This window comes from Homo sapiens, chromosome 12, assembly GCF_000001405.40.
Source record: "Homo sapiens chromosome 12, GRCh38.p14 Primary Assembly".
NCBI lineage: Eukaryota > Metazoa > Chordata > Mammalia > Primates > Hominidae > Homo > Homo sapiens.
Genome location: NC_000012.12, coordinates 124,603,295 through 124,627,335, shown reverse-complemented (window position 1 = coordinate 124,627,335; position 24,041 = coordinate 124,603,295). Strand labels below are relative to the sequence as shown.

The 24,041-nt window shown below is 53.5% G+C and overlaps 1 long non-coding RNA gene across 1 annotated transcript, besides 3 other annotated features; it reads left to right on the top strand.

Annotated features, from left to right (window-relative positions):
- Positions 3,884-4,777: an enhancer, noted in NCBI's record as "H3K4me1 hESC enhancer chr12:125107105-125107998 (GRCh37/hg19 assembly coordinates)". NCBI's record gives its function as "activates a minimal SCP1, AML or CMV promoter by ChIP-STARR-seq in primed H9 embryonic stem cells {active_cell/tissue: H9 hESC(primed)}" and the evidence as "EXISTENCE:reporter gene assay evidence [ECO:0000049][PMID:30033119]".
- Positions 4,778-5,670: an enhancer, noted in NCBI's record as "H3K4me1 hESC enhancer chr12:125106212-125107104 (GRCh37/hg19 assembly coordinates)". NCBI's record gives its function as "activates a minimal SCP1, AML or CMV promoter by ChIP-STARR-seq in primed H9 embryonic stem cells {active_cell/tissue: H9 hESC(primed)}" and the evidence as "EXISTENCE:reporter gene assay evidence [ECO:0000049][PMID:30033119]".
- Positions 17,735-17,864: an enhancer, noted in NCBI's record as "active region_7294". NCBI's record gives its function as "activates an Ori minimal core promoter by ATAC-STARR-seq in GM12878 lymphoblastoid cells {active_cell/tissue: GM12878}" and the evidence as "EXISTENCE:reporter gene assay evidence [ECO:0000049][PMID:35858748]".
- Positions 18,192-22,313, top strand: LOC101927436 (uncharacterized). The gene is made up of 4 exons (XR_242964.4): positions 18,192-18,633; positions 19,694-19,822; positions 20,977-21,052; positions 22,058-22,313. It is a non-coding gene; the product is annotated as an uncharacterized LOC101927436 (long non-coding RNA).
- Positions 22,314-24,041: the final 1,728 nt, after the last annotated feature.

The following is a 24,041-nucleotide window of genomic DNA, read 5'->3' as shown; positions in this document are numbered from 1 at the left end:
ATTTTGCTGAGCCCTGTGCAAAGGGAAGGAAGCCAGGCCTAGAGAGTTCACAGCACAGGATTCCATCAAGAGCAAACTCCTGAAAAGACAAAGCACCCCTCACATTGTCAGGCCAATCGATTGGCTGGGAAAGCAGCTTTGGGATGAGGGAAGAGTCCTCTGTGTCGATGGGGGTGATGGCTGCATGATACAGTTTCATCAGAAGTCCCATGGCTGGGTGCGGTGGCTCATGCCTGTGATTTCAATGCCTTGGGAGCCTGAGGTGGGAGGATTGCGTTAGCCCAAAAGTTTGAGACCAGCCTGGGCAACACAGCAAGATCCCATCTCTAAAAAAAAAAAAAATTTAAATTAGCTGAGTATGGTGGTGCACATCTGCACTGCCAGCTGCTTGGGAGGCTGGGAGGCTGAGGCGGGAGGATTGCTTTAGCTGAGGCGTTCGAGGCTGCAGTGAGTTATGATGGTGTCACTGTACTCCAGCCTGGGCCACAGCGTGAGACCCTGTCTCTAAAAACATATGTACTTAAGATTTTTAAAAAAGTCTTTGAATTGTATATTTAAAATGTCTACACTTCATTAAAACATGTCACAGGCTCCCACCCAACCCCCTACCCTGCTCCCGCCGACCAATTGTCAGCTTCTGGAGGTCCTGAGGTGAGGGCTCTGCCTGTGCCTTCCAGAGGAGAACAGAGGAGAGCTGTGTGCCCATCTACTGAGTGCATGAAATGAAATGAAGCCAGCAGGGCGGGGTGGATGGAACGGGGCTGGACCAGGCTCCCCCAGAGATTTCTGAGCTGGAACTTGCTGGATGAGTCAGGCACGTCAGGAGCAGAAGAGGAAAGGGCCAGGGCAAAGGCTGGGCTGGAGGAAAGGGCTGTGGCTTTGAGGAAGCAGCTGGGTGTGCCCCGGGGTGGGAAGGTCAGCGGGGCCTGGGCCCCTGGGGGTGGGGCCGTGTGTGGTCACAGACCTATTGTATTTAGTATCCACCCTGCAGGCTGGCTCTTACCCGCTGGCTGCTCGAGGTGGTGGCCTCTGGCCCTTGGGGGGTGCCGAGGTCGGAGGGAGCAGCCTCCAAGTCCAGGAGACAGGCTTTGGGGCAACCTGACCCCAGTGAAGGACTTGTCCCCACCCATCCCAGAGGAGGAGGAGTGTGGAGGGCAGAAGTTTGCCAACCGAGGCAAGAGCGGGTTCAGAAGCTTTCTGTAAAGGAGGGCATTTGGATGACGTGTGGATTTCCTATTGCTGCTGAACAAATCACCACAAACATAGAGGCTTAAAGCAACACAATATTGTTATCTCCCCGTTCTGGAGGGCAGAAGGTCCCAGTGGAGCTTATGGAGATGAGGTCAGGGCACTGGCAGGGCTGGTTCCTTCTGGAGGGTCCAGAGGAGGCTTCATTCCTTTCCTCTTGCAACTTCTAGAGGCTGCCACACTCCTTGGCTGGTGGCGGAATTGCCCTGACCTCTGTTTCCACCATCTCTTCTTCTTCTCTTCCACCTTCTCCTACTCTAACCCTCCTGCCTCCCTCTTATAAGATCTTTGCGATGACAATGGGCCCCTTGATCATCCAAGATAATCTCCCTATCGCAAAATCCATAACTTCATCCCCTCTGCAGGAGCCCCTTCACCATGGATTGAATTGTATTTCCCACCCCAAACTCACATCCTAAAGCTCTCACGCCCCAGTATCTCACAATGGGACTGTATTCGAGGACCGAGTCTCTAAAGAGGTGATTAGGTTAAAATGGGTTCGTTAGGTTGAGCCCTAATCCAATAGGCCTGGTGTCCTTTTTTTTTTTTTGAGTCAAGGTCTCACTCCATGGCCCAGCCTGGAGTGCAGTGGCACCATCAGAACTCACTGCAGCCTTGAACTCCTGGGTTCAAGCAATCCTCCTACCTCAGCCTCCTGAATAGCTGGGGACTATAAGCACACACTACCACATCTAATTTTAAAAAAAAATTTAAAGAGATGGGATCTTGCTATGTTATCCAGGCTAGTCTTGAACTTTTGGGCTCAAGTGATCCTCCCACTTCAGCCTCCCAAAGTGCTGGGATTACAGGCATGTGCCATCATGCCCTGCTTTGATGTCCTTATAAGAAGAGGAGATTAGGGCATGGCCATACCCAGAAAAGCCCGTGTGAAGACACAGGGAGAAGACAGCCATCTGCAAGCCAAGGAGAGAGGCCTTGGAGTGAACCAACCCTGCTGACACCTTGATCTTAGACCTCTAGACTCAGAAGGCGTTTCGGTTGTTTAGCATTCCCCGCCTGCTCTAACCCCAACCCCTGTCTGCGGTGCTTTGTCACGGTGGCCCTGGCAGTGCACTGCACCGTGGATGGTAACATGTTCTCAGGTTCTGGGGAGTGGGATGTGGATATCTTTGCGGGGCTGTTAGTCTGCCTACCACAGGTGGGTTCTGTGAAGGTGAGTGCCCCTCCCTCCTAGTGCCCCAGGGGAAAATGGCAGAGCCGGGCAGGGCCGGGGGGTGGGGAGGGAGGAACAACTGGCTGAGGCCTTGGGGATGCTGGAGCCAGGTAGCAGCCACTGTGCCTTTGCAGACCATCACAGGGCTGTTCATCAATGTTCCAGTTCTCCTTTTCCAGGCACTTCCCGACCCTTGGTGGGTAGGGGGCACTGCATGAGTGTGAGTGGAAGTGATGGATCCAGGCTGGGCACACACTGGCCAGTGCAAGACTTTCCAGAGCTCTCTTTCCTTCTGTCACAGTGGCCAGTGATGTTCCAGCAGGTGGCTGGGTCCTGCTGTGAGGACAACATGGAGCAGAGCCCAGGCTTACCTACAATGGACATGCAGTGTGAGTGACAAGAAACCTCTGTGTGCTGAGCTGTTGAAATCGCCAGGTTGTTTGTTACCACAGTATAACCTGGCCTATCCTGACCATTGCAGGCTCCCTTGCCTACACTTGGTAAGGGATTGCCTCCAAGAACCACATCAGCGTGGACCATGAGCGTAGGCAGATGAGGTGCATGCGAACTGCTTAGCCAGCAGCTGCCACAGTGGAAGGTCTATGTCATTGCTGCTGCTGCATGCTCGTTGTGGCTGTGATTGTCATCAGCAAAGACCAGCAACAACAAAAGGCCACAGAAGCCCTTACCATACATTCTAGAAGGCTTAAGTCTACTCTGGTCATTTCAACCTTGGGCAGAGAAGGTGGCCTCTTGGAACCTCTCTGAGATTTCATTCTCTCACCAGGTGGGTGAGAGGACAGCAAAGAGCCATGTTACGAAATTCAATGAAAGGCTCATTTCCTACCCCTGGGGAAAGCAGCAAAGCCAGGCTGACACCAAGGAGTTCTAAACAGAGGAGGGCCTGACTTGCTGGCCGGGTGGGCAGAGGAAGACAGGGAGCCCAGTGATAACGCCTGGCTGGAGGTGGAGCCACGGTTGCCAGGGTACTTGTGCTGTGTAAGGAATCCCTCAAAACATTAGGGCGCCCAGCAGCCATCGTATTACGCTCACAGATCCTATGGCTCAGAATCACACAAGGCACAGCACAGATGTCTTGTCTCTATTCCAGGATGCCAGGGCCTTCTGGAAGTGCCTGTTTGGCAGTTGGAGCTGGCTGGGGGCTGGGACGTATCTGGACTGTCTGCCACAACACCAACCCACAGCCCCCTTTCGGGCTACTTGGACTTCCTCACAACATGGCGGCCCTGGGCAGTCAGATGCTTACACAGCATCTCAGGGCTATAGCACGAAGGCACCTGCATCACCTTCTGTGACCTAGCCTTGGAGGCCACGCAGCGTCTCTTCTGCCACATTCTATTAGTTGTGAGTGAGTCATGAACGTGCTCAGATTCAGGAGGGAGAGAACATAAACCCCACTCTCCAGCAGTGGGAGGTAAAGGTCATATGGGAAGAATATCTTGTGGGATGGGAGAAATTGCAGAGGCTGTCTCTGGAAAATGCCATCTGTTACAAGGGACTTAGACCACCCCCGTCCCACCTCTCCTCCAGGCCTGGGTCCTTCCCATGGCCACCTGCTGACCACTGGGGACTTCTGTGTCATCCCTCCAGCTCTGAAGATTCCTCTCAGTGAACTTCTTAGCTAAGCCTGCCAGCCCACAGCCTTCTCTCGTGTCCTGCCTGGCGAGGGGTCTGGCTGGTGTTGAAGGCAGCCCCAGGGCCTCACCTCACACTGCACAATGACCCACGGTGCCCTGGACAAGAGGCTGCCCTTGGCATTCCAGGCAAAAAGTCGCTTCCCTGAAATGTTCTCCAGTGGGAAGCTAAGAGCGTGCCTGCCTCCCATCCTGACCTCCTGCCCCTTCAGAAGCGTCCCTGCAGCTCCTGCCTGCACCTGGCAGGGAGCACCGCTACAGAGTTTGCTGCTGTACCGGCTCAGAAACGGGAGTTCCCGGCACAGGGCCATCGGCGAGCCTCCCAGCTGGAGTGTGGGCAGAGGCAGACACTGGGGCTGCAGGGGAGTGGCCCCCAGGGTGTGAATAGGAGGGCATCCTGCAGGCTCCAGACATTGCCATGCGTGTTGCTGTGATTAACCCCCAAACCCAGCTCCATCATTCATTCACTCCTTCATTTGTTCATCCTATTGTCCCAGGAGCTGGGCTATAACAGAAAGGAGACAGGCCACAGACAGACAGGCAAGGCCATCCCAGGCAGTGAGAGGCGACGTGAACTCTGTGAACTGAGATGATGAGGAAGAGAGGAGAAGGGCGGGGCCGCTTTAGAAAGGCTGCTGGGGATGTCCTGTTTGAGGAGGTGACCCTGTCACTGGAGCCAAGCCAAGAGCTGGGGAAGAGCATGTCAGGCCCCAAGAACTGCAGGTGCAAAGGCCCTGAGGCAGGACCCTAGCAGGACCCTAGCAGGTGCAGGTGCAGGTGCAAAGGTCCTAAGGCAGGACCTGAGCAGGTGCAGGTGCAAAGGCCCTGAGGCAGGACCTGAGCAGATGCAGGTGCAAAGGCCCTGAGGCGGGACCTGAGCAGGTACGGGTGCAAAGGCCCTGAGGCAGGACCCGAGCAGGCATGTCTGAGGGTCATAGGAAGCCTGTGTGCCTGGAGCAGAGGGTACAAGCCCAACGTGGAGCTTGTGCATGGCTCTCCACTGCCTCCCAACTCAGTCCAGGGGCTTCTGCTCGGCTTTCAATGCCCTCCACTGTGGGGGCCCTGCCACACCTCCCCATTCTCTGGGGGCCCCAGGATTTCCCACATCCTTGTTTTTTCCCATATTGCATTAGGATTTGACTTTATTATTTAAACAAGAAGCAGAGGCCCCCACTCCTTAGGGCGGAAACGTTGCTCAGAATCACATCCTGGAGGATGGAGTGAAAGGGATGTTGGTCTTAGAAGCCCTAAGAGAAGACGGCACAGAGTGGCTGGACTGGGGGTGGGGGTGGAAGAGACTGAGGAAGGCCAGGTGGACAAGGCGGGGTGGGGCCCACAGTCCTCATTGCCACAGGGCTTTGCCATCTTGCCAAGGAGCCAACTTGCCCTGATTCCACGGAGCAGGCCACTGGGACTTCCCACTTCTGTGGGGGCGCTGCGACTGCCTCCAAGATCCTCCCCAAATCTCTCTGGGCCTCAGTGAGGTGCCTGGGGAATGGATTTAAGATTGGTGGCCCAGTTTCCGGACAGCTGGGAGATGAGCTCAGCCTTACTAATGTGATCGAAGTTGCCAACCCCTGCCCCGCACATCCTCAGGGGACCCTAGGCTGCTGGCCACCAGCAAGGTTGTCTTGTCTGTTTGATCTTCGATTCCTGAGGGTAGTGGGCACCTCGGTAGGTGATCCTGCCCAAATCCCGCCTCCGCTTGTCCTCTTGGCAGGGCGGCCTCCCTCCCGCATACCACAGCCTTCCTGCAATGCTGCGACTCGGGTTCATTCCAGGGGATCCTTGAGCGCTGGCGGCACAGAGGGGCCAACCTTGAACTCAGCAAAGAGGAATGCTTGACTCCTCTCCAGCTGGAAGGCTGTACCTGGGCTAAGAACTGATGAGCCTGCTTGAAGGAAACACTCCGTGCTTTTGTTAAAGGGGAAGGGAAAATAAAATCCCAAATCAACCTTGGATCAATGTCTCTTCCCCAGACGGCAGCCCAAGGCCTCTGCGGCCTCTGCATCAGTCAGCTGGGAAAGCGGCACAGCCCCTGGGACTGTGGCTGGGCCAGCCAGCCTCCACCCAGACAGAGCCCGCAGCAGGCCGTTGATTCACCGTTCCCCAGCAAAAGCGTCATCCTGAGTCCCATGGAAGAGACTGGTTAATCTCTTACTGTGTAATTAATCTCTTACTGTGTACCAGGCACATGCATACATCCCATAACGCATTCAGCCTCACACCATCTACTTTACAAAGCACATAGCACTACTGTCTTCATCTGGCAGTTAGCAAACCTGTGGCCCAGAGGGGTGGACCAATTTACTCATAGCCACATAGCTGTCAGGAGCTGAGATACAAGCCCAGGCGTGGTGGATCCAAAGCCTCTTGTCCTGGCTGGGCATAATGGCTCACACCTGTAATCTCAGCACTTTGAGAGCCTGAGGCAGGAGGATTGCTTAAGGCCTGGAATGTAATATCAGCCTGGGCAACATAGCAAGACCCTGTCTTTATAGAAAAAATTTTAAAAATTGGCCAGGCATGGTGGTGTGCCTGTGGGCCTGGCTACTTGAGAGGCCGAGGCGGGAGGACTGCTGGAGTCCAGGAGTCTGAGGCTGCAGGGAGCTGTGACTGCGCCAGTGCACTCCAGCCAGGGTGAAAGAGTGATGCCCTATCTCAAGAAAAAAAAAAAAAGCTCTTGTCCCAAACCCTATATCACCAGGTCCGTAGAAGCAGGAGTGTATTGAATCCATTAGGGAGGCACTTGGCTACAAGTAACAAAAACCTTGGCTCACAGTGGCTTAAAGCATAAGGTCATTCATTGTTTATTTCGGAGGACATTGAGAAGCAGGCATAGCCCAGGTGGGTTCACTAGTTCCTCAGTGTCAGGATACAGGGCTGGCATCTCTGCAATTCTCTTAGCCTTCTCCTCATGGTGGCACCATGGCTGCCACAGCTGCAGACATCACTTCATCCCACAATGACATCCAAAGGCAGGAAGGAAGGTGAGGTGGGAAGGAGGCAAAAGGGACCAAACCTCTCTTCCTGTAACCTTCTCATTTTCTAGTGAGACCTTTTTCCCAGGAGCCGCCAGCATACTTCCCTCACGTTTCTGGCCAGAAGTGGATCACAGGCCTTCCCCGGATTACTCAGGCCCAGAGGGTGCAATGTGGTCCCCACTACATGGTAGACAGGATTTGAACTAAACAACAGTTCGCTGGAGTGGAAAATAAAGGATGCTACATTTTCTTATTGTGATAAAAAATATATATCATAAAATTTACCATTTTAACAATTTGTAAGTATACAGGTTGGTAGCATTAAGGACAGTCACATTGTTGTGCAACCACTACCATCCATTTCCAGAATTTTTTCATCTTCCCAAACTGAAACTCTGTCTCCATTAAACACCAACTCTCCACCTGGCTCCTGCCAGCCCCTGGCTCCCACCATTCTACTTTCTGTATCTGTGGATTTGACTATTCTAAGGTTGGACTAGTCCAACCTGTACATAAATTGAATCATACAGTATTTGTCCCTTTGTGGCTGGCTTATTTCACTCAGCACAGTGTCCTCAAGGCTCATCCATGTTGTGGCCCGTGTCAGAATATCCTTCCTTTTTCAAGGCTGCGTCGTATTCCATTGTATGGATACGCCACCTTTTGTTTACCCATAGTCTGTCACTGGATACTTGAGTTGCATCCATCTGTGGGCTGCCGGGAATCATGTATGGGGTCTTTAATGACTTTCAGCATCTTCAAAAGCATCTTCTCTGATGGAACGACGGTGGTGTGCGACGATGGTGTGCTGGGTATTGTATTGGCAAAAATATTGAGCAACTGGAACTCTCATCCCCTGTCTCGGGGATGCAAGATTTGGAAAACAGTTCAGCAGTTTCTTTCTTTCTTTCTTTCTTTCTTTCTTTCTTTCTTTCTTTCTTTCTTTCTTTCTTTCTTTCTTTCTTCTTTCTTTCTTTCTCTCTCTCTTTCTTTCTCTCTCCCTCTCTCTCTCTCTTTCTCTCTCTCTCTTTCTTTCTTTCTTTCTTTCTTTCTTTCTTTCTTTCTTTCTTTCTTCTTTCCTTCTTTTTTTTTTTTGAGATAGGGTCTCGCTCTGTTACCCAGTGGCGTAATCTCGGCTCACTGCAACCTCCGCCTCCCAGGCTCAAGCGTTTCTCCTCCCTCAGCCTCACTGAGTAGCTGGGATTACAGGTGTGCCCCACTACCGCCCAGCTAATTTTTGTACTTTTAGTAGAGACGGGGTTTCACCATGTTGGCCAGGTTGGTCTTGAACTCCTGACCCCAAATGATCCACCCACCTCGGCCTCCCAAAGTGCTGGGATTACAGGCGTGAGCCACTGTGCCTGGCCAGTTCAGCGGTTTCTTAAAAAGTTTAACCTAGACCTACCGTATGATCCAGCCATTTCACTCCAGAGAGTCTGCCTAAGAGAAATGGGAACATACGTCCACCCAGAAACTCACAGCACACATGTTCACAGCAGCATTGCTCACAAGAGCCAACAGGTGGAAGCAACCCAGGCGTCCATCAGCTAATGATGGTTAAACACGACGTGGTCCGTCCATGGGGTGGAGTATGATTCAGCCATAAGGTGGAACGCAGCCCTGGCTCACGCTACGGCACGGATGAACCTCGAGAACGACGCAGGTGAAAGAAGTCAGACACAAAAGGTCTCGTGTACGATTCTATTTATATGAAATGTTCAGAATACGCAAATTCATAGAGACAGAATGTGGGTTGGTGGTTGCCGGGGCTGGGGGAGGTGGGAACGGGAACGGGAGGTGACTGTTAATGCATGTGGGGTTTCCTTTGGGGGTGATGGAAATGCTCTGGAATTAGGTAGTGGTGATGGTTGTGCAATATCCCAATGAATCACATTTTTCTGAATATCCTGAAAACACCTGGATGGCATACTTAACAAAAAAAAGGTGAACGATGGCCCTGGAAACTGTTATTTTCCCTATTTTACGGATGAGAACACTGAGGCTCAGAGGCGACAGTGACTTGCCCAAGGACACAGAGCTGATGAGTGGGAAGGCAGGGATTCCAACCCCAGCCAGCCCTGCCTCTGAAGCCGCACCGGTGACCCTGCCCCTGACGGAGCCTGCAGGTCTTGGGCAAGTCTCCTCGCCTCTCATTGCCTCAGTGTCCCCATTTGTGCAATGGGCGTGAATCGAAGGGGCACAAACGCAGTCAGAACTGCATAGGCACAGACAAGATGCCTCCAGCGATGTGCCCTCTTCCTTCTCCACCGCAGGGGAGCGGAGAAAACAGCCACAGCTCTTTGGAAGGCAAGCACGAGGGCTGAGGAGGGCCCCGGCTGCCTAGGGAGGCTCGGTCACCTCCCAGCAGCCATCCCCAGATGGGGAGTGAGGCCGTGCACTGTGTTTCTGCCGCCAGAGTGCGGGTGTTTCCCCGACACCCTCTTTTGTGCTCCGGCAAACACGTCCCTGGTGACGTCCCCGTTGCCATGGCGAGAGGCGTCCTCTCCTATGGAGAGTGACAGTCACCACCTCACTGGGACTGGAGCCAGCGCAGCCCGAGGACAGGCTAATTCTGCCACCAGAGTTGGGCTCTGTGGGCTCTGCGCCTCCCAGGAAAGGCCAGCTGCAGGGCCTTCTGAGGAGGCAAAATGGGGGCACGCCGGGGTTGGGGGGCTCCTCCTGAGCTTCACCCTGTTCCCCAAGACAGCGCTGGGTTGGGAGAGGGCAGGTGACCCGGGGTTCAACGCTGGAGCCTCTGTTTACCTGCTGTGACCCTGAGCCTCAGTGTCTCTATCTGAAACATGCAGATCTTAATACCTCCTTTGCAACCTCGTATTAGGGGATCACTTATTCATTCAACCAACAGCCACTGACCTCCAACTAAAGGCCAGGTACTGGGGTGAGAGCAGGGGACCAGAGGCACGGCCCCTGTGCTCCCTGTCATCGAGGAGAGGGACATGAGAATTGCATTTGTGAGCGGTGCTATGCAGTCATGAAACCCAGGTGAGGGCTAAGGAGGGACTGCAAGAGGTGACTGTGACTTTAGCCCCGGGGGCAGGGGGTGCTGGGAAGCACTTTCTGAGAAGGCAGCCATGAGCAAACCAGGGGGATGAGCAAGGCGGGCAGAGGAGCTGCATGTGCAAAGGCCCCAGGGCTGGAATGGGCTTGGCGTGTTCAAGGAACGAGAGGGCAGATGTGGAGGGGTAGAAGTGTGAGTAAGGGTGAGGCGGGAGGGGAGGGCGGAGGCCGACACGCAGGGCTACGCAGGCTGCCAGGGGAGTCTAGATTTTGTTCTAAGAGCAAAGGGAAGGGACAGGAAGGATTGAAGCAAGGGAGAAGTAAGCTCTGCTTCCCGTTCGACAAGGGCTGCCCTTGCCCGGATAACTGCATTTCAGTTTCACAAACTGCATTTCAAAAGGGGAAACGGGGCTCAACAGATCTCCTTTGAACAAATCAATGACTTTCATGAAACAGACAAGGAATCATCCTTGAGAATGAAAGTGTGAGGAGCAGCACACATCCGCCCGCTTATTGATGTTCCCACACTGTCGGCACCGGCCTGGCTACGGTCCCCAGCCAAAATCTGACAGCAGCCCTGGATGCAAGCAGCTATCTGTGCACCGATGGTTATAGCAGCATCATTCAATATCCTGATGTGAAAACTACCCAAGGATGTGTCAGAGGTGTTTGAACCAGAGCAACTCCATCTTGAATGTAGCTAGGTAAAATGAGGCTGAAACCTACTGGGCTGCATTCCCAGATAGTTGAGCCATTCCAAGGCATGGGATGAGACAGGAGGTCAGCGCAAGATACAGGTCATAAAGACCTTGCTGATAAAACAGGTTGCGGTAAAGAAGCCAGTGGAAACCCATCAAAACCAAGATGGCCACGAGAGTGACCTCTGGTCGTCCTCACTGCTACACTCCCACCAACGCCAGTTTCAACTTCAGGGAGTTACCCTATATGGGCCAAAAAGGGGAGGCATGAATAATCCACCCCTTGTTTAGCATACCATCAATAAATAACCATAAGGCCGGGCTTGGCGGCTCACACCTGTAATCCCAGCACTTTGGGAAGCTGAGACGGGTGGATCACTTGAGATCAGGAGTTCAAGACCAGCCTGACCAACATGGTGACACCCCATCTCTACTAAAAATACAAAACTAGCCAGGCATGGTGGCAGGCGCCTGTAATCCCAGCTACTTGGGAGGCTGAGGCAGGAGAATCGCTTGAACCCAGGAGGCAGAGGTTGCAGTGAGCCAAGATCGAGCCATTGTACTCCAGCCTGGGCAACAAGAGTGAGACCCGGTCTCAAAAAAAACAAAAAAAGGAAAGAAAGAAAGAACCATAAAAATGGGCTTCCAGCAGCTCTCGGGGCTGCTCTGTCTGTGGAGTAGCCATTCTTTTATTCCTTTACTTTCTTTTTTTTTTTTTTTTTTTTTTTTTTTTTAATGACGGAGTCTCACTCTGTCGCCCAGGCTGGAGTGCAGTGGTGCAATGTCGGCTCATTGCAAGCTCCACCTCCCGGGTTCACGCCATTCTCCTGCCTCAGCCTCCCAAGTAGCTGGGACTACAGGCGCCCGCCACCACGCCCGGCTAATTTTTTGTATTTTTGGTAGAGACGGGGTTTCACCGTGTTAGCCACGATGGTCTCGATCTCCTGAGCTTGTGATCTGCCTGCCTTGGCCTCCCAAAGTGCTGGGATTACAGGCGTGAGCCACCGCGCCCAGCCTATTCCTTTACTTTCTTAATAAACTTTCTTTCACTTTACTCAATGGACTTGCCCTGAATTCTTTCTTGTGTGAGATCCAAGAACCCTCTCTTGGGGTCTGGATCAGGACCCCTTTCCTGTAACAAATTCACCGATGGATGATGGATAGGCAAGGTTTGGGCTAATCATGCATTGGAGTAGGGTTTGGCCTGAAAAAAGAAGAGCTTTCTGACACAGGCCACAGCACGGGTCCACCTGGAAGACACTGTGCCGAGTGAAAGAAGCCAGACACAAAGGACAGAGACCCTGTGATCCCACTTATGCGAGGCACCTTGGAGCAATCAGATTCCTAGACACAGAAAGGAGAAGAGGGGCTGCCAGGGCCTGGGGGGAGGGGGCATAGGAGTTAGTGTTTCATGGGGACAGAGTTCAGCTGGAAGATGAGAAGCTTCTGGAGATGGACAGTAGTGGTGGTTGCACAATAACGTGAATGTCCTTAATGCCACTGAACTGTACCCTTAAAAATGGTTAAAATGGTAAATTTCATGTGATGTCGATTTTACGACAATTTTTTTTAAAAAAAGCACCCCAAATGCAAATTGCTAGTTAAACATTGCTTGATCAGAACATTCACTCCCTTTGAGAGGTAGAATTCTAAGATGACCCCCAATAACCCCCACCCTTATGTAATGTTCTCCCTTTGGATGTCAGTGAAACCTGTAACTTGCTGCTAACCAATAGAATATGGCAAAATGAAGGGAATTTACATATGGCAGCAAGATCCCTAATTGGTTGCCTTTGTGTTAATCAAAAGGGAGATGATCCCTAGTGGGCCTGCCCTAATCAGGGGAGCCCTTTGAGAGTTCAGAGGTGAGAAACAGGAGGTGGCTCTCTCTCTCTCTCTCTCTTTCTCTCCATCCCATCCCCTCCCTGCCCACTGGCCTTCAAGAAGCAAGCTGCCCTGAATCCTACAGCTGCAAGAAAATGAATTCTGCCATTAGCTTGAGGAAGTGAGGGAGCGTGGAAGTAGATCCCTCCCCAGTCAGGCCTCCAGATGAGAACACAGCTCCACCCACACCTTGGTTGTAGCCTGGTGAGATGCTGAGCAGAGGACCCAGCAAAGCCATGCCTGGACTCCTGGCCCCCAAAGAAGGTGAGATAGTTAATGTACATTGTTTGAAGCGGCTACAGTTTGGTGATGTGGGACGCAGCTGTACCTCCTGAGTGCTCCCAATGGAGCAGCCACAGCAGGTGGAAGGAACGTGGGCTTTTGAGCAGGTGGTCCTGGGCAAAACCCTGGCTTCATCCCTCCTGGGCTGTGTCACCTCAGACAAGTGTCACCCAGTGGACCCTCATAGCTCACTGTAGCCTGGAACTTCTGGGCTCAAGCAATCCTCCTGCCTCAGCCTCCTGAGCAGCTAGGACAACAAGTATGCACCACCATGTCCAGATAATTTTTAAAAAAAGTTTTTTGGTGCATCGCTGGAGGCATCTGCTCTGTGCCTGTGCAGTTCTGGCCACATTCATACCCCTTTGATTCACGCCCATTGCACAAATGGGGAGACTGAGGCAATGAGGGTCTTACTATGCTGCCCAGGCTGGGCTCAAACTCCTGGGCTGAAGCAATCCCCCTGCCTCAGCCTCCCAAAGTGCTGGGGTTACAGGCATGAGCCACCATGCCTGGCCCAAGAACATTCTTAAAGTCACAAGTGCTTGGGGGCCAGGGATCTCCAAGGGTACTCCGGAAAGGACCGGGACTCACACAGCAAGGATGTGGGTGAGTCAGGGATATGGGACCCAGATGGGAAGGGGCCCACAGACCCACAAAGGGCAGGACTGCAGGAGGGTTTTGGACATGGGTCAAAAGCCAGGAGGACTGAGGGTCATCCCACTGCAGGGTGCGGTCAAATCCCTGCTCAACCACTCCCTAGCTGTGTGACCTGGTCCAAGTTTTTTGACTGCCCCATGCCTGACTTTCCTCCTCTGTCACATCAAGGTAATGATGATTTTACTACAATGCAGCACTGGGGAGATTGCATGCAATAGTGCATGTAAAACACTTGGCCCCATGCCTGGTGCATACTAACCCAGCAGGAAATGTTAGCTGTTAGTATATTGTTACTATGTTTGGTTTTTGGAAAAAGTGAAGGCAGGGAGGGACCTTGCCAAGTAACATTGTCCAGAAGCTCATGAGTGGGACACAATGATGAAATCGTAAATCTGCTGATTAGTACCAGGATAGAAACCACTCCACTTACTGGCTCCCTGGAGCCCTGAGCTGGGAGGGATTCTGAGGCTGGGCCTGAGTTTGACGAGAAAGATTATCATGATTGATTAGTGATGTCTGCCATGGGCATGGGTAAGGGGTGTGGATACGTGTGCTGTGGATTTTCTGTCCTTGAGCTAGAGCTTTCTGCTGAGGATAGAACAGTGGCTCTTAACCAGGAGGATGCATCAGAATCTTCTAGTGTGGTTTTTATAAACGCACATTTCTTGGCCTTGCTCTGAATCAGAATTGCCAGGAGTGAGGCTTGGATAACTTTCAGAACTCTGCAGGCAATTCTTCTTGTGAAATTTACCTATCAATAAAAAGAGGCCCCAACCCTGAGCCCAGGCTATTCAGTGGGGCCCTCCAAAAACAACCGGGTCCTTTCTCCCAAATGGTTTCCATAGCGGAAGCTGGGGAAAGAACATGGCCTTGCTTTGTGTGGCTCAGACAGGCTGCATCATTATCCGAGTCTTGGTTTTCTTACCTGGAAAATGGGTGCTCTTATAACCAACTGGCGAGGCGACTTTCAGGGATACCTCTTCCACTGGGAGCACGCCCAGGTCTCGGGGAGCCCCATTCTGCCCATCATGGGCTATTTTCGTAAGCAGGAACGGGTGAAGAGAATGTTGCTGTCCTGGGCTTGGGGAGGGGCTGGGAGTCAGAAGGCAGGGCTTTCTGGGTGCTAAGTTCCTGCACAGGGCGATGTCTGTGTGGCTGCCAGAGCGAGTCTGTGGGTGTCTGAGTGTGAATCTGCGCCAGTGCCCCTGAGCTGGGCTTGCAGATAAAATGCAGGGCACCCAGATACTGCACGGGATGTACTTACACTGAAGAATCATTTGTCAGAGTCAGCCAAGGGGCTTATGTCTTTATTTGCTAGATCTGGCAACCCACCCTGGGTGTCAGCGGGACAGTCTGTCTCAGTGACTGTGAGTGGGTGTGAGTGTGGGCTGTGTGTGCTCAGGGGAGCATGTGTCTCTGGGTGTGAGTTGGTCTCATGCGTGAGCATCTGTCTGAAGGTGTCTGTATGTGTGTGTAAGAGACAGTGCGTCTCTGCCTGGAGTGTGTTTCCAAAGATGTGTATCACTCTGCGTGTGTGTCTGTAACGGAGTGTGATTGTGAACCTATATGTGTGAATGTGAGGGGGTGTGTGTGGGTGTGTCTGTGTGAGTTTGTACCATTCTGCAAGTGTCTATGAGGGTATGTGATTGTAACAGTTGTGTATAAGGGTGTGTGTGAGTTTGGGCACGCCCAGGCTGCCTCACCCTTTCCTTCTCCATCAGGCATGCTGGAGGACTGCCTGGAGGAGGAGGCAGCAGCCAGTTGTCCCATGGTTCTCAGGGACCTATTTCACTGGAGCTGGGCTGTTTCAGGCCAAGGCTGTGGCACTGTCACCTGCCTGTGGAAGGGGATACAGGACCTCCCCAGCACCTCGGAGAGTCCAATGCACCCTCTGGGAACCCCCCGCCCTTGGCCCCCAGGCCTGGACATGAATGTTCTGGAGCTCAGCGACACACAGGAGACCCCATGCCTCCCAGAGGCAGGCCCCAGGGGCGGTGTGGGCGGCACCACGCTGGGGTAGTGCTGAGGTGGCGCTGGGGTGGCGCTGGGATGGCGCTGGGATGGTGCTGGGAGGGCCTGTCTCTTTCCTGGTGGGGTTTGGGCTGCTCCCATTTGCTTTAATGTTCTGCAAAGAGTTTACAACCATCAAACACCTAGAGAGAGGGCCAGGGAAAGACAGCCAGCCGGTACGCGAGGCAGAGGGGAGATTGCCCGGCAGCCAGGGCCAGTGTGGTGGGAGCTGCCAGACATCAGGGAACACCCAGTGGGCACCAGGCACAGCCCAACCTGCAGCCTCCCAAGGAGGTCACCATGCCAACACTTGCACAGCGCTTGGTACAGGGGGGTCACCACAGCCAACACTTGCACAGCACTTGGTACCTGCTGAGCAGTTTGCACAGCTCGCTGTCCAAAGCCCAGAACCAAACAGATTTGTACGCATTTTGGGCACAAACCCTTGCTATATGTGATCAAAACCACAGGAATCAAATAGATTGGAAATCATGGAAGGTCCCTAATCCCCACCGTGGGCAGGTGACAGTGCCTTGGCTTTGTTTGGCCCAGCCAAACACAATATATTCCTGGGAACCACAGGAAAACTGGCTACTGCCACCACCTCCAGGCAGCCTTCCAGCCTGCCCAGAAGAGAGGAGATGGGATGGCCTGGGCGTGCCCAAACTCACATGCACCTTCCCAGACACTAGCAGATTTGCACTCACATAGACACAGCCAGATGCACCCCACAGGCCTGGAGAGCAGGGGCCCCAACATGAACCATGGAGAGGCAAGCTCTGTTATTAATCCCATTTTATGCAAAGAGAAACTGAGACCACAGAGGTTATCTGACTTACCTGGGGCCACACACCCGGGAAGTGGCAGTGCCGGGATTCACTCAGGAGGCTGGCGCCAGTCCGAACCGTGGCCCCACGTGATGCTTATGGCCGTGCGTGCATCCCTCCAAAGGTCACGGCGAGGCAGGGGCAGCTTGGGCGCCCTGTGCTGATGGCAGCTTTTAAAAAATTCTGCCTTTTTCCTTTTTCTTTTTTTTACTCAGCTGTGAGTCTCAGCAAAGGCAGCACTAACTCAGCATCGCTTCGCGGCATCAAGTCAGCCTTGCGAGGCTGGGATTGTTCCAACTGAGCTTTCAGGTGGAAGGGAGACAAAGGGGGGGCCAAATGGCTCATCCTGAGCCCCCCTTCCAGGAAGCCTCTCTGGAACCTTGGGTCCCCAAAATTGTGCAATGCTGAATCTGCACAACCTCCCAGGCCAGCCCTGCTGCAGGCATCCTGTGGAACTCAGCATCCTGGGTAGAGAGAGGCTCTTCTCGGAATAACATCTGTCACTTAGACAGACTGGGGGCTCCCCGCAAATGGCCCTTCGGGGTGTTTTCCTGCAGCTGCCTGGGCACAGAGCTGTGCTCCTCACGCCTCAGTTGTCTCGGCTGCCAGCCTCAACTTCCCAGCCTCGAGGACCTTCCTCAATTCCCCCATCCCTGCCTCACAGCGCCTGCAACAGCTGTTCCAGGCACACAGGAGGGAAACTGAGGTTTGTAGAGAGGTTGAGCTGGTAAGAGGGGAGTGGGGACTCCATGCGGGGCCCTGGGTAGCTGGCTGTGACCTTATGTTGTCAGGGTCTGGGCCCCTCTGCTAGATTTAGCTTGGGGCCCCCTGTCTGGGGTCTTCCCCTCCATCCTCCGGGACCCCAGTCCTATCCCTCTGCCCACCCTGTCCTTCTCACCCACTCTACAACCGAGTTTCAGGACTGAAGGACCAGGGACCTTCCCACCCCCAGGGGCTCCCTCAAGAAGAGAAAATTCGTCTCCCAGAGCCTCTGAGGCTAGCCTCCCAGGCAGGCCCTTACACACCCCCCATGCACCTACGCCCCTTATCTGCCTGTGCCCATATCTGCCTTAAACCTCGTCAGAGTTCAAGAACGCAGGTGGTGAAATGTCCAGTTCAGTAGGGGATTGGGTTGTGACCCAGCCAGAAGGACCTGCCAGGAAGCCACGTGGGTGTCTGGGGGAAATGCTCTCGTGGTGGGCACAGCTGGTGCAACGGTCCTGGGGTGGGAATAGCTCGGAGCCCAGTGTGGCTGGACCTGGGTCGGGAGGAAGCTGGGGAGAGAGATGGGGTCTGAGAAGTGGACAGGGGCTGCTCACATAGGACTCTGCGGGCTGGGGGTGGGTGTGGGGCTTGATTGTATTCTCGGTGTGAAGAGCACGCGTGAAAAGCCTAGCCAAGCCCTTGGCGTTCAGGATCACGTTCACCCTCACAGCAGTGCTGGGACTCAGGTGCTCTCAACATCCCCAATTCCCAGATGAGCAAACCGAGGCACAGAGAGGTAAAGCGCTTGCCCAGGTGGCCTGACACACCCTTGTCCCTGCAGATGTTCTGAGGTCGCCCCAGGGCTGGCATTTCCTTCCCTCTGTGGGAGGTGCTCCGCTGCGCCCCAGGTGGGCCCCAGCGGCGCTTTCCTTTGAAGTCCCAGCCAGCTGACTGGGCCAACCTGTTCCCCGCGCCTTCCTCCTGGACCCTGGCCAAGCCTCAGGGCTGCCGAGGGGAGGGGCAGAGGCCGCAGAACAGGAAGCACGTTTTGTTTTATTTTAAAATGTACACACACAGTTCAGTCTCGTATACGTGTAGTTAAATAACTTTTTCAATCGGTACCAACGGGGCACACATTGCAAAGCATGCATCTCTCCGACTTTGTCTTCAGGGGCCCGCGTGCCCGCCCCAGAAGCATCTTCAGTTCCCAGTGTCTGTGTGTCCTTCCAGGGAGTAGCTTAGGAACACACAAGCAGAAATGCACAGATAGAAATACATATTCCTCAAAAGATCAGCGGGAGGGGCCTTCATGGGTCTCCTGCACCCACTTGGCTTGAAAAATTCTCTCAAACCGTCACCCCAGTCTCATCATGAGAAAAACATCAGACCAATCCCAATGCAGGCGCATCCTGCAGCTCCGTGACCAGCAAGCCTCGAAACTGTCAAGGTCACCTGCCTCGAAACTGTCAAGGTCATCAAATCAAAACCAAGGTGAGTCTGAGAAACTATCCAGCCCAGAGGCTCGGAGGAGCCTCGAGAAGGCCAAAGACAGATGCCACCTGGGGCCCTGGGGAAGAAGTGAGATTGAAACAGGCAGATGTCAGTTGATACTAATGTATCCACACTGGTTCCTTAATTGTGAAAAATGGGCCGGGGCAGTGACTCACGCCTGTAATACCAGCACTTTGGGAGGGCGAGGCTGGAGGATCCCTTGAGCCCAGGAGTTCCAGACCATTTTAGGCAACAGAACGAAACCCTATCTCTAACAACAACAAAAAGAATTAGCGAGGCATGGTGGCGTGCACATGCAGTCCCAGTTATTTGGGAGGCTGAAGCAGGAGTGTTGCTTGAGCCTGGGAGGTTGAGGCTGCAGTGAGCCATGTTTGCACCACTGCACTCCAGCTTGGGTAACAGAGCAAGACACTGTCTCCTCCCCCACAAAATTCTAAACAATGTATCATACTAATGTCAGATGCTAACAGTAGGGTAAACTGGGCGTGGAGTATGGGGTGACTGTTCGGTCTTCACAATCTTTTTATGAGTCTAAAGCTGTTCTGAAAAATAAAGTTTGCTTTTTAAAAGGGTCAATTTTTTCAAAATCTGTCAAGCTAGACACCAAAGACAAATGACCTCACGACCTTTACTACGCATACATTTGTCCCCGGGTTTAAAAATACACGGCAGAAACGCCACATGAAACGTAGATCTGGGAGGTCACTCTGCGCCCTGGCCACGGGATGGCTTCATCCTTTGTCACGGCTGCATAGCCACATGCCCAGTGCCTTCGCGATGGACACGGAGCTTGGCTTTCGGCTTTTGCTGCAGTAGTGACCCTACCAGGCACATCCTGGCCTGTCCGTGCCTCTGCGCCCCAGGCCAGCACCTCTGTAGAATCGTTTCCTAGAAATGGAACAGCTGCTTCAAAGAGAGCCCGTGAGAAGGGTGTGGGTTGTAAGGCAACTCTGCCACGGACAAGATCATCTTCCAAAGCGGGCAGAGGGAGATGATGTGGGGTGGGCGAGGAAGGTGATGTGTGGCGATTTCATTACAGGTGATCAGAGAAGGTTTCTTTGAGGGTGACATTTGAGCAAAGACGTGAATAAAGAGACAGTTGGAGCCATGTGGAGATGTGAGGAGGAGGGTTCCAGGCCAGGGGACCCGTACGTGCCAAGGCCCTGAGGTGGGACTGTTTTTGGTGTGTTTGAGAAGCAGTAGGCTAGAGCGACGTGGTGGTAGGAGAGAGATCACAGGGGCTGGAAGGGGCCAGGTCATGGGGGCCTTCTTCAAAGGAATTGGGGTTTTATTGGAATTGGAGCAGGATAGGATACCTTTAGGAGCATGGGGACTGGCCTGATGTAGGTTTTGAAAGGACCCCTCTGGCTGCTGGGGGGAAGAGGGGGCATAGTGAGTTGGGAGAACTGTGGGGGTCGGCGGGGGCACCTGCAACCGTCCAGGCAAGGGAGGGCAGGGGCTCTGACCAGGGTGTTCCCTGGAAGAGTAGAGGAGGGCAGATTTGGTTTTGTTTCACCATGTTTTTTTGAGACAGAGTCTTGCTGTGTTGCCCAGACTGAAGTGCAGTGGCACGATTTCGGCTCATTCCAACCTCTGCCTCCCAGTTTCAAGCGATTCTCCTGCCCCAGCCTCCTGAGTAGCTGGGATTGCAGGCGCCCGCCACGACATCGGCTAATTTTTGTATTTTTAGTAGAGACAGGGTTTCACCATGTTGCCCAGGCTGGTCTCAAACACCCAACCTCAAGTGATCTGCCCGCCTCGGCCTCCCAAAGCTCTGGGATTACAGGCGTGAGCCGCCGCACCTGGCCTGAGAAGGGCAGATTTGGGAAGTACTCTGTTTTGAAGGTGAAGTGAACAGCACTTGCTGAAGTCCACAGTGACTAGGCCTGGGCACAACAGGGATATATTCCTGTCCTTAGGCTGCTGTAACTGGGCGTCACAAACTGGGTGGCTTCAAAAAACAGACGTTTTATTCCCTCACCGTTCTGGAGGCCAGAAGTCCAAGATCAAGTTCTGGGCAGGGCCATGCACCCTCTGAACTCCGGTGGGCTCTTTCCTCGCCCCCCTCCCAGCCTCTCGCAGCAGCCAGCAATCCCTGGCATGCCTTGGCTTGTGGCTGCATCTCCCAGCACCGCCGTCATCACGTGACCTTCCCATGTGTCTCTGTCCTCTTTTTATAAGGGCACCGGTCATACTGGATTTAGGGCCTGCTCTACTCTAGCAAGACCTCATCTTAACCAATTACATCTGCCATGACCCTGTTTCCAAATCAGGTCACATTCTAAGGTTTGGGAGTTAAGATTTCCACATATCTTTTTGCAGAGCACACAATTTAACCCAGGACAGCAGGGAGACAGCACCCCAGGCCGAGTGAAGGGGAGGACCGCACAGGCAAACGGTGAGCACCCAGGCAGGGGACGGCTGTGGCTCTTGGGCCCTTTCTTCCTGCAAACCTTCCTCGTGAAGAAAAGAATGAAGCCGAGTTCTGTAGGACATGGGGAGAAAGAGGCCCTGATCCGCCCCAGTCCAGCTGAAAGCCTTCTCCCTGCAAATTGCCAACTCTCCCCACGACCTCCGTCCCCACCTCACTTCCCTCGCTCCCTCCTTGCGGTTCAGGCAGCCAGACCCTCTTATCACTCACACACACAGCTTCCTTTTTAGCCCAAAGGTCGTTATTTTAACACCTGTTGGGAAAACAAGCAGGTTACTCCCAGGGGGTAGGGAAGAGGAGGGAAGAGGGGAGATGCTATTTGTAGGGCTGACACCTGCCCCCTGCCCCTCAAAGCAAGGCAGGAGCAGAAGCAGGGGCCAGGCACGCCTCTCCCCTGTTTCCTGACCTCTGGAGCCACTCTAACTCCAGCTGCCTTCACTGCTTAACAAACCAGCCCCAAACTTAGCCACTTAAAACAACAGCCGCCACTTATCTGCTCAGAATTCTGCAATTTGGGCAGGATCAGGCATCGTGGTGGTCCCCACCCCACGTGTGTTATCTGGGGGGCTCAGCTGGGGCTGGATGGCCCAGCACGGCATCACCCACATTGTTTAGCACTGGAGCTGGGTACACTCTTCTCTCTCCCCTTGTAACTCATCTCCCAGGCTTCACTCTGTCCCTGCGGTCTCTCCCTCTTCTAGAACCTGGCCTGAGCTACTTTGCGGGCCAGCTGGATTCCAAGAGAGAGAAAATAGAAGTCGCCAGGTCTCTTAAGGCTTAATCCAGAACTGCAGGGAGTCACCTCCACAGCATCCCGGGGGTCAAAGGATTCACAGAGCCTGCCCACTTTCAAGGGGTGGGGACACAGACTCCACCTCCCATGGGAGAGGTTGCAGGCCCCTGCAGGGAGGGGGAGCACTGCTGGCAGCCATCTTTGCAGGCAACCCTCACACTCTTCCATTTGGCCTCCAGCTGGCCTGGCGAGGCACCAGAGGCTGTAGAGGAAAGCGCCTCCCACCTGTGAGATGCCAACAAGATACCCAGGGTCTGAAGAGTCTTAAAAGAAAAGCAAGGAGCGGGGGTATGATATCCGACCAAAGAGCAAACGCCCGAGCCACTTGGCACTGCACTCTAACTGGGAGGCTGAGCACACAAATTAGATGTTTGTAAGAATAAACAGTCATTAGAACTCGAGAACTAGAGGAGAAATAAACATCATTTCAAGATATTTGACTAATTTGGCTCTGAGCTCTGCCTGCCTGTGAATGTGCTGGTTTCTGGCTTGCGGGGATGCCTGTGTATCTGTGCATGCTTCTTGTTAGCCCTCTTGGTTACGTGTCCTTACTGAGTGCCAAAGTCTCCTCTGTAAAATGGGGATAACAGCAACACCCAACTCAAGGGTGTTGGGAGAGTGGAACAAGGAAATACACACAAATTGATTAAAACAGAGCCTGGCACCTATAGTAAGTGCTCAAGAAATGTGAGCAATACTCTACATTTGCTCACATATTCATTCGTTCAGCAAATATGCAGAGGGTCCCAGCCAGGGGAGGCCCTGTTCCTAGTGTTAGGGATCAAAAGACAGTGAGATTCCTCGTGCCAGCTGATGCCAGGCACACGGTGGGCGCCCAGGAACAGATTTTTGAAGAATGAATGTATGGGGCATGGACTTTGCCTTCAAGAGCTGTGGCCTGGGGAGGAGACAGACTTGTAAATAAATCACTGCAAACACTGTCATGATAAATGCAAAGCAGTTCCAGCTATAAATTTCACCTAAAGTACAGTAAAAGGACCGGCCCTGATGGTGGAATTTCAGAGACAGAGGCCAAGGCAGGGAACAGTGCTGCGGGAATGAGGCCCTCTTAGATGCTTTGAAATTGTACCAGGAAGACCACAGCCCCTGAACCCAGTTCAGAGTGGAGACAGCAGGGCAGGGAAGCCCTCACACCGTGGATGATGACAGGTACACACTTTGGAGGACTCAGGCCACTGGGCTGGATGACCCTGGCCATCCCCCTGCCTCAGGGCCCATGGCCCCCAAACCAGGGGCTCCTAGTTTCCAGCAGGAACTGCAGGTGGCACAGAAGGGCCTGCAGGATGGGCTGCCGTGGCGGGCGGGTTTTAGAGCGAGTGGCTTCTGAGTCTGTCTGTGCAAGTTAATGAGCGGCTCTGGACATTTAATCAAAACCAGACATCTCCTCACGGCTGTCTGCTGCGAGCAGCGCCGGTGTGTGCAGAGGTTCTTCCTCAGGCCGCAGAGGGGCCCTGACTGTTTTCAGGGCCTCTGGCCAAGACTGGGATGGTCTGCAGGCCGCAGCACCTGGGACTTGAGTGGAGGCCCCATTTCCAGTCCCCACCAGCTGCCAGAGCCCCTGAGTGTGCATCTAGAATGGAGCCCCCGCCCAAGGCCCCTAGGTAATTTGCAGGGCCTGGTGCAGAATGGAAACACAGGGTCCCATGCTCAAAAATGATGAGGAATTTCCAGATGAGAACAGGAGAGCTTCGAACCAAACGTGGTTTCCGACTGTGGGGCCCTCGGTGTGGCAGGCTCAGGAAACTGAGCTGAAAAAAATACAAGACGATTGTTGGGGGGATCTTCACTTTGGCCTCAGCAAGCAGTGTTGAGTGCCTGGCTGGCTGTGGTGTCAAGCTGCGGTCAGTGCCTTGCATCCAAGAGGTGCTGAATAAATGCTCATTCCCAGAATTGAGTTGCGTTGTGCAGATGGCACTGGGAAGACACGCCCTCATCCTCTGGGGCCTGCTGCAGTCCCTCCCTGCCCTGGCTGCTCATCAGTGGAGACAGAAGGGTAAGAGGCAGACGGAGAAGGGGAAGCATTAACACTTCCCTCCTGGAGGCCCTGAGAATGCTGGAGGGGCACATGGGACCCAGCTGTGGACAGAGGTCCCAGATGTAGAATGATGAGCAGTTACCTCCCACCGAGCCCAAAGGGACCAC